The 10221-nt window shown below is 39.4% G+C and overlaps 1 protein-coding gene across 6 annotated transcripts in view; it reads left to right on the forward strand.

The window, feature by feature from the left end:
• The window catches only part of ZNF512 (zinc finger protein 512), a 40176-nt gene extending 32375 nt beyond the window's left edge, over positions 1–7801 (forward strand). For all 6 annotated transcript variants that reach the window (NM_001271318.2, NM_032434.4, NM_001271286.2 and 3 more), the window contains 3 exons: positions 846–908; positions 2057–2155; positions 5737–7801. In NM_001271318.2, coding sequence (NP_001258247.1) covers positions 846–908; positions 2057–2155; positions 5737–6045 — 471 coding nt within the window. In that variant the 3' untranslated portion in view covers positions 6046–7801. The remainder of the gene's footprint in view (positions 1–845; positions 909–2056; positions 2156–5736) is intronic.
• The last annotated feature ends 2420 nt before the right edge of the window (positions 7802–10221 follow it).

Below are 10221 nucleotides of genomic sequence, written 5' to 3' on the forward strand. Positions count from 1 at the left end.
CTGTAAAGGCTCAGCAGGGCAGTTCTCCTGCGATATGTAGCATCAGCTGGAATCGCTCATAAAAGTGCGTTCAACTGGAAACTCAGACTGGAATGTTCAAGATGGTTTCTGTGCAGCTGCATTTATCTGGGAGCTTGGCTGTCCATATGGCCTCTCTCTCTAGCAGAGTAGCTGGGCTACCAGCAGGGTACACAGTGACTGACTTCTCAGGGAATATTTTGAGATCATGAAAGCAGGGTTGCAGATCTCTTAAAATCTAGCTTCAGAATTTGCACAGCATCACTTCCATGGTGTTTTATTGATCAAAGGAATCATGGGACTAACCCAGATTCACAGGAAGGGTAAATAGACTCCACTTCTTGATGGCAAGAGTGGAAGAGAATTTGCAGCCATCTTTATTTTTACGATTCTAAAAATATTTTTATTTTCTAGAGTCAAGATGAGGGAGAGAGCCATCTTTAAACTATCACAGCTATAGTAGATTCAGTACTTTGCAGAGGAGTAAATATAAAAGAAGTGGGAACACATTTGCACTAAATAAAGCAGATTTTAAAAAAAACTATATAATTTTCTGTGTTTCTCTTAAGTGTCAGAGAAAGTACTGAGGGAAGGAAATGGCTTAATCTTTCCTAAACAACTTGTTCACCTTCTGTTTCTTTTCTTTTTACCTTTCCTTGGCTTTCCTTCTTTTGCGGCTTGCATGTATATTCTTTTTTCGTTTGTTTTGTGGCACAAATTATTGGTTTTCTTCCTTCAAATGTGGAGTTGGTCAGTGTAAATGGCCAGATTGTTCAGAGAAGGGAGCTATTTGGCATAGTCTTCATACTATTTCTTCTCTTTTGCAGGGCTGTGAGGCTGTCTACAGCAGTGTATCTGGCCTTAAAGCTCACCTGGGCTCTTGTACATTGGTTTGTAACTTTTTAAACTTACTATCTTAACATGTCCTCTAAAATAGTCTGACATGGAAGAGAATTCAGTTTAGGTGAACAGCTAGTTGTCCTGTTTACCATTATCTTCAGAGGCTGCTTTAGATTTTTATGTCTCTAAGATTCTTGGTCTGGTATTGGGTGGGATGCCAGGGCATGTCCAAGACTTAGAAAAGATCACCATAGTCACAAGTCATTATCAATTTAAAGGAATTGGAAGAAACATATATTTGTTCTGAGTTCCTATCCCTGAATTCTAAGAGATTCAGCTCCTTGCATTTGAGCATCTCCTACACTGGGCCTGCCCTGTTTAGGTGGGCCTAAAACTTTGTAGAATCACCTTACATGTGCTTACCTGGATTGGTAAAGATCCTCTATACCCATCTGAACCATACTGGCCTCTCGGGATGGGAGGTGGGATAGGGTGTCAGGCTAACAGCCATTCACCTCACTGAATCTTTTCCATGTTGACCCAGGTGTCCTACAACCTACCAGCCATGGGAATTGCTGCCATTTTCCAATCTCCTCACACAAAATGAGCACCATGGAAACCTGAAGCTTCAGGAGGGGAGAGAAGTCTCAGTTCAAGGCAACAAGGGAGTTGTAGGCATCTAAACCAGATCTGTCTAGGAATGCTTAGGAGTTTGTCATCTTGATCCTAGTTTCTGAGTCCTTAAACTAGGTATTACGGATGGTACTCTTCTAATTCTGGATTTTGAAGGCACTTTTTGCGACAGTAGATCATAGTGGGAAGAATTGTACATTGGTGCCTCTGGTGAATTTTGGGCATTTGATCATTTTGGGGGAGGAACCAAGACAACCTGGAAGTGAAGTGAAAGGAACATAGGAAGGTAGAAAGATGTGGCATATTACCTGAGAAAAAGTAGGAGACTTTCAGGTTGTGTTGAAGTAGGGTGGGTGATTGGAACAGAATTGCACTAGGATGGATTTATGTTGATAATCATCCATCCAAGCTGGTTTTCCTAAATCTATTACTATATTGGATCTTTTTCCTTCTTATCTTTGCTGAAGTAGAATTCCCTCTTTTCATCTCTAACAATCCCTACACATAGCCCAGTTATGTTGCTGAATTTACCAGTAATTCTTTTTTGTTTCTCTCTTGGAAATAGGGAAACTTTGTGGCTGGAAAATACAAATGTCTTCTATGTCAGAAAGAATTTGTGTCAGAGAGTGGTGTCAAGTATCACATCAACTCCGTCCATGCTGAGGTGAGGTTTTTGTAATCCTGTGGGCCTGATATGTAAGCCACAAGAGAGGTAGACTTTGTCCCTATTGTTATGGACTAAGGCTGTCAAGGAAAGTATCTCTAAAGTGGTTACCAGAGCCATTAGAGTTAAAATATTCTCTAAACTTAGATATATAATTGTATTTTTCTGTGAAAGTATTTGAAGTCACTGTGAGGGGTGGGCGGGGTGGCTTATGCCTCTAATCCCAGCACTTTGGGAGGCCAAGGCAGGAGGATCACTTGAACCCAGGAGTTTGAGGCTGCAGTGAGCTGGTTGCGCTACTGCACTCCAGCCTAGGCAACAGAGATCCTGACTCAAAAAAAAAAAAAAAATCACTGTGACTGTAAGCATCCTTGAACTCTTTTTTTTTTTTTTTTTAGACGGAGTCTCGCTCTGTTGCCCAATCTGGAGGGCTCACTGCAACCTCCACCTCTCGGGTTCAAGCAATACTCCCTGAGTAGCTGAGATTACAGGCACCTGCCACCATGCCTGGCTAATTTTTGTATTTTCAGTAGAGATGGGGTTTTGCCACGTTGGCCAGGCTGGTCTTGAACTCCTGACTTCAGGTGATTCACTCGCCTTGGCCTCCCAAAGTGCTAGGATTACAGGTGTGAGCCACCATGCCCGGCCTGAACTCTTCTAATTCCTTTAAATCCAATTAAGTCAAATGTTTGGGAACCAGATTGAGTTTACATGTTTGAAATTCTTATTTCACAGTGATCTCTATACATTCATGCCTTCTAGCATTCTAATGTCTTCCAGCAACCCATTTTTAACGCTGTTTAAAATACTGGATAAAACAACTAAAGGACATTATTGAGACAGTTGGGGAAATTTGAATGCTGACTGTATTAAATAATAGTATTGTGTCAGTGTTAACATTCCCAAAGGTGATAGTTGTAGTCATGCAGGAGAATGCCCTTGTTCTTAGGCAGATATATGCCAAAGTGTTTAGGGATGAAGTATTATGATGTCTGCAACTAATTTGCACATAGTTCAGCAAAAGAAAGAAGGAGGGAAGAAGGAAGAGAGGAAGGAAAGAAATTAACAGTGGTAAATTTGATTGTTCATTGAACTGTTGCAACTTTTCTGAAGGTTTGTAATTTTTCAAAATAAAATTTTAAAATTGTGTATAAAAATGCTTTAAAGTTCAGAAGGTCAAGGGTTTTCTCTTGGGGAAGGTTTTTTAGTAATACAGGTGAACAGAGAAATCGTTTATGATATAATTAAATAGTCCTACTACAACAGCTTAGGAATACAATTTGCATTCTCTTGGAATATCTCACTGCAGAAACTATTGCTGCCTGATGTGGAAAAATAAAGGGAACACCTTTATTTATTTTCTGCCCTCAAATTTGATAGTACTTAACAATGTGAGCTTTAATTACTTCCATAAAATTTGGTTTCTGTTGCTTTACTGGCATAAGCTTTCAGAATCCCTAACCAAAGCCTGAGATGTCTTCTGAAGGCAGTCATATCTTTTTAGTAATAATAGCATATCTTTTTTTGCTTTAGGAAGTATTTAAAAGGTAATTATCGGCTGGGCACGGTGGCTCACGCCTGTAATCCCAGCACTTTGGGAGGCCGAGGCGGGCAGATCACCTGAGGTCAGGAGTTCAAGACCAGCCTGGCCATCATGGTGAAACCCCATCTCTACTAAAAAGTTAGCTGGGTGTGGTGGCGGGCACCTGTAATCCCAGCTACTTGGGAGGCTGAGGCAGGAGATTTGCTTGAACCCAGGAGACGGAGGTTGCAGTGAGCCGAGATTGCGCCACTGCACTCCAGCCTGGGCAACAGAGCAAGACTCTGTTAAAAAAAAAAGGTAATTATCTCCTGACAAAATCTGGCCTTTATATAGTTAAATGGTTTGTCTATTTTCTTCCTAAAAAGTTAAAATCAAAAGAATTGGAACCAACAAATTTCACTTGGTTTGGGGCATGCTCCCAGGCATTTGTTTATTGATTTATGCCTCTATGAATTTTGTGGGTGGTAAAACATCTTTACCCTGTTTCTTCCTCCCTCCATCACATTTTCTTACACTACTTTTTTTTTTTTAACAGAAAATTTCAAACACATGAAAGTAGAGAAAATAGCATAATGAACCCAGTATGCTGTCAGCCATCCTCAGCAATCATCAGTGTATGGCCAATCTTGTGTCATTTATAACCTCACTTTTCTCCTCCCTTAAAGGCTTACTTTAAAGCAAATTCCACATAAAATTTCAGCTGTAAGTGCTTCTTTCAATATATATCTGTAAGAGATAAGGACTTTTGAAAACATATGACCACAAACATCATTATACCTAAAAAAGTTAAGAATTTTAATATTATCATATGTCTAGTTATTATTTAAATTTCCCTGATTATCTTATAATGTTTTTTCAGAGTTGATTTTTCAAATTAGGATCTAAAACAAGGTCTAAATATTGCATTTGTTTGTTTTAATCTAGAGCAGCACTATCCAAAAAAAGTACTGTGAGCCATGTATATAATTTAAAATTTTCTAGTAGCCACATTAAAAAAGTATTTTAAAAGATGAAATTAATGTTAATAATTATTAAGCCCAATATATCTAAAATTATTTTTAACATTAAATCAATAAATTATTGAGATATTTTACATTTTTTTCATAACAAGTCTTTGAGATTTGTTGTATATTTTACATGAAAGCATATCTTAATTTGTTCTACTCACATTTAAACACATCACTTACCATATGTGGCTAGTGGCTATCTCATTGCATGGTGCAAGACTAAAAGCTTCCTCTTCTTTTTTACAAATTTGCCATTTATTGAAGAAACCGGATCACTTGTCACATACATGTACCCACATTCTGGAATTTTGCTGATTGCACCCTATGATAGTATTCCTGTATTCTGGCCATTTCCTTTTTTGCTTTTTGTTGTTGTTGTTTGTTTTTGAGGTACAGGGACCACTGCAGTGGAGTCTTGCAGTGGGGCAGAGAGATTGGGCTCAACTCCCTATTCTGGCTTTTCCTATGAATTGGTAGATTTAGAAGATTGAACAGATCACTTGATAAGATTGAAGTTCTTTCTTTTTTGGCAAAAATACTTCATAATTGGATTTCATGTCCCCTACCCCTTAATTTTTTAAAGTGAGCCTCGAAAATGTTAAGTAATTCGCCCATGGTCACGTATCTAGAAACAGAGCTGGGATTTGCACCCAGGGGGTCTGGCTGCAAAATTTATGCTCTTAGTTACGATGCCGTCATGGAATAAAAATCTCCTATGGCTCAGTGTGTTACATCTCATGATGAGATTTATACTCAGGAGATATAAGAGTGGGATGATGCTAAGTAAACAGACTTTGTAGATCATTTATTAAAGTCCCTAGAATTACGCCTTACAAAATATGTGCTTGTAATAGCTGCTCTGTGTTGGATTTCTCCATCTTAAAATATAGAATCCTGAGGTATGGTTCCATATCTGTTTCCTTCTTACTGTGTTCTGCCCTAATCATGCCTTTTTTCCATTCTTCCTCCACCTTTCTTTATGTTCTTCACTATATTTTCGACTGGATGACATTTCTATTTTGCCTCTCTAGGACTGGTTCGTTGTAAACCCAACAACAACCAAAAGCTTTGAAAAGCTGATGAAGATAAAGCAGCGGCAGCAAGAAGAAGAAAAGCGGAGGCAGCAGCACAGGAGCAGAAGGTCTCTAAGAAGGCGGCAGCAGCCTGGCATTGAGCTTCCCGAGACAGAGCTGAGTCTTAGAGTAGGGAAGGATCAGAGGAGGAATAATGAGGAACTGGTAGTGTCAGCCTCCTGTAAGGAACCAGAGCAGGAGCCAGTGCCAGCACAGTTCCAGAAAGTAAAGCCCCCAAAGACTAATCATAAACGAGGAAGGAAATAGGCAGTCAGTGTAAAAGTGCTCCTAGGAAAGCAGATGTGATGCTGTTGTCACGGGGACCTGTGCTGGGAGGACTGAGTGAAGATTCTTTCAGCTGTTTGTGTAAGGCTGTGACTTTCTCAGCTCCTTCCTCCTGTGTAAATTTCACTGTCTTCCCTTCTTACATTTTGATTCCCCCCTCCCCTTTTAGTAGGTTTTCCTGCTATTCCTCGTCAAGTCCTCTTGTTTTTTTATCTTGCCCAAAGAGCTCCCTCTCAAGGCCAACTATAGGCTCCTCTTGCCCTGTACAAAACTAAGAAACCTCTTTGGTTGTCCTTTCCTTCCTGGGGTATAGAATGTTCTTGGAAGCTCCATTGATTTAGTAGCTGCTCCATCATCTAGCTTGTGAAACCATTCCAAACTAATTTTTTAAAACCATAACTGATTTGTCATTTTGTATTTGTGATATAACAAGTCTAGAAGTTAGAACTGTTGTCATTCACATAATAAGATTACTCTGTCTCCTTGGGAAAAAAACTTTATGGAGGCTGTTTGTCCTCTCAATATGGTTTTAAGATTGAAAGTAAGAAAACGGATTTAGGATGAAAACTCTAGAACTACCCTATGCTGTTTATACTGGGAAATGCTTTGTACCAAGTAGCAGTGACTAGACCCACAGACATGAAAAGCAACCTTAGGAGTAAAGTGACCCAAACATTAAAATGACAGGAAAGAGAAAGTAGAAGCAGCAATAAATACTGCCCCAACTTTCCTGGAGCCCGAGGCCTCATCCATAGCTATGATCACTTGCCCTCTGAAGCTTATTTTTGCTTCTTTGGTTTTAAGAATTGAGAAATATCACATTGCCCCTGATGTTTTGACAGTCTCCTAGTGCTCCTGGTAGTGCCACTAAGGGAAAACCAAGGTGCGCATTCCTTCTCCCTGGACTTTACCTTACTTGTTAGTCTACGCCCCACTGTTTCCACCCATCCCCTTAGCCAACCTCTGTCTTTTTGAATTTTCTGAGAATATTGTCCTATCCTCTTTTATATATGGAGTTCTCTCCTCTTTATATCCTGAGACTTTGACACCAGATGTAGATATTTATCTGGAGCTGGAAAGAAAAATTCTTTTTCTGTACCTCATGCCTATCTGGTAATGTTTAATGGGTTATTTCTCTTTGAGGGTGGCTTTCTCTGGAACATTGGTTAGAGCAGCTTTGTTGTCGTGTTTCTGGATTCTCTTCCCCATTTTGCGTAAATATTGGTCTTATATATTCTTGCCTATTTTGTGGCATATGCCACATAAAAAATGAACCTGATATAGACAAGTACTACCTTTTCAAATTCTGAAAGGCTATTACCACTTTAACTCTTTGTGCTCCTCCAAATAGCTTTAAAATGTGGGCTTTTGTGAAGACCACTTTCAAACAAGGGAGCACTGAAACCTGAATTGGATACTGCCAGAATAGGTAGTTTTGAAACAAGTTAAGGACATGGTATATGCACTCTGCATTTTCATTGGCAGTGTGCCCTTAAAGCCCTTTCAGTAGATGAGGGTTGTCAGGGAGGAGAAATGAAGAAGCTATGTTAATTTCTGGTGAGTAAGACCTGGGGAATGTTTGGCAATGACAAAAGAAATAAATGACTCTCAGAAAGATGTTTCCAGTGTTCTTTGACGCCGACCTGCTGCATGACTCCTTGACACTGTATGGGGGTAAGAAGATGGCTAGAGATGGGGGTGAGTTTGAAATAAATTCCACATGCAGTTGTCTCAGTAATTCTTTGGTTCATGAATTATGCTGGTTAAAATGAGTAGTTTGAGATTAAAGTGAATTAGTATAGGAAACTTGCCCAGTTTCATCCAGGGACCTCTTGCAGGCATTCCTTTCGTTTTTCCTGACCAAGACCAGGGATCAGCAGGACTCAGTATAGACTATTCTAATCACAGTATTGAGTTTTAAAGTTTTTTTAAAAAAAATTCATTAGACTAACAAACTAAGTTTGACAGTATTATGAACTTTCATACATGGTTTGGAATGCAAATTGGTACAATCACTTCAAAAGTGATTTGGCAGTATCTAGCAGAGTTGAAGATATGTACCCGAAGACTTAGCAGTTTCTCTCCTGGGTATACACAGAGTAACTCCTTTTGTCTAGGCGTACCAAGAGACACAAAAAAGAATGATTATTGCAGTACAGTTTACAGTAGAGAAATACTGAAAACAAGTATCAGAGATCTACTTTCACCTTTGCAAATTATGGGATTATAGAACAAATGGCTAGACTGTATATTTCCTAGTTATCCCCCTTCCCTCCACTCTCTCTAGTGAAGGAGAAGCCAGCTAACTCCTCTCCCATGGAATGTGAGTGGAGTGATGAATGCCACTTGCAGGTTAGAACTTTTGAGTGGGTGTACCTCCAAGCTTTCTTTACCCTTCTTCTGGCTAAATGCAGATGATGATGGGGCCCTAGGAGATGGAAGAACACAAAATGGAAGATATCTTGACCCCCTGAATCACCTGTTGAAGGAGAGCCACTTGCCAACCAGGAACATGTATCTGAGACTATTAAGTGAGCAAGAAATAAATGTCTGTTATTTGAGACATTATACATTCTTGGGTCTCTTTGTTAGCCTACTCTAATACACAATAATTATCCATTATCAGAATGGATAAATTGTGATATAGTCATACAGTAGAATACTATACAAGCTATAAAATTGAGTAGGGTTTCTCGTATCATCATGAATATGTCTCAATGTCTGGGGCCAGGCACAGTGGCTCACACCTGTAATCCTAACGTTTTGGGAGGCTGAGGCTGGAGGATCGCTTGAGCTCAGGAGTTCTAGACCAACCTGGGCAATGTGATGAAATCTCATCTCTACAAAAAAATTAAAAAAATTAGCTGGGCATTGTGGTGTGCACCTATAGTCCCAGCTAGTTGGGAGGCCGAGATGGGAGGACTTCTTGGGTCCAGGAGGTCAAGATGCTGCTATGAGCTGTGATCACACTACTGCACTCCAGCCTGCGTGACACAGTGAGACCGTCTAAAAAAATACAAAGAATATTCTGCACATCTCCTTAAAAGAGAACATTTTAGAAATTTACTCTTGCTTCATCTCTCTCTTCTTATAGCAAATCCATTAGCAAGTCCTGCCTACCACCAACTACATTTTGAATCTGTTCACTCTACTTCTGCCATTCCAATCTAAGCCATCATTACCTCTTGCCTAGACTACAGTATCTTCGTAATTGGTTTCCTTCCACTTTTTTCTGGCTTGGATACACTCCACATAACAGTTGTAGTTTTTAAAATTAGGTAAATCAGACCTCATTCACCTGCTAAAGGCCCTCGGTGCCTAAACTCCTGCTAGCCTTAATAGCCTCATCTTCCTTTCCTCCACTCATGTTCTGTGACCATTCCTCAACTATACTTTACATACACACCTTTCTGTTCCTTGAACCTACCAAGCTTATTGCCATCTTAAGGCATTTGCATTCACTGTTGCCTCTGCCTAGAATAGTTTCTTCCCCAGTTTTTGCATTGTAGGCTTCATTTTAGCAATCATAGGTCTTAAATTTCACCTCAGAGGTCTTTTCCATCTAAACTCACTTTCTGTAACATAACCCTGTGTAATTTTCTAAATAGCAAAGCAGACAAAATGCAGATTGAAATCTTAGTTGGCCAACTTGCTGCTTACTTAGAGGTATGGATTTCAAGGTATGAAATCAGTTATCATTCAACTTTTAATGTCTTCAAGCCCTCACTCTGGAAGGGACAGCCACAAGCAGTATACCATATCCATTACCTGGGATGATAAGTAAAAATGAACTGAGATCAGGTGGAAGTTACCCACTCTTGAATTAGATAATTGGGACACCAGTGGCAGGAGGGGAATTAACAGAACTAATATGCTTCCTACTTTCCAACTTTTTATCAGCCTTAGAAATACATTGTCTTAGGGTTTTTACGTCCACAGAGACTAAGCCTTCAAGTTTGTCTTGGATACCATGCTTTCCTTGTTCAGTGTTTCTGTATTTTCAGCTCACAAATTGAGATTTAGGTTAAAGTACCTGTATGCTAAAATCCTAATTTCTGCATTAAAACTAGTTTTTATTATTTGCACATGTGAATAAGACATTTAAGAGTGGTAACAGAAGAGTGATGAAGTAGAAAATGTGTTACATTGGAACAGTAA

The sequence above is a fragment of the Homo sapiens genome, chromosome 2 (assembly GCF_000001405.40).
Source record: "Homo sapiens chromosome 2, GRCh38.p14 Primary Assembly".
In the NCBI taxonomy this organism is placed as follows: domain Eukaryota; kingdom Metazoa; phylum Chordata; class Mammalia; order Primates; family Hominidae; genus Homo; species Homo sapiens.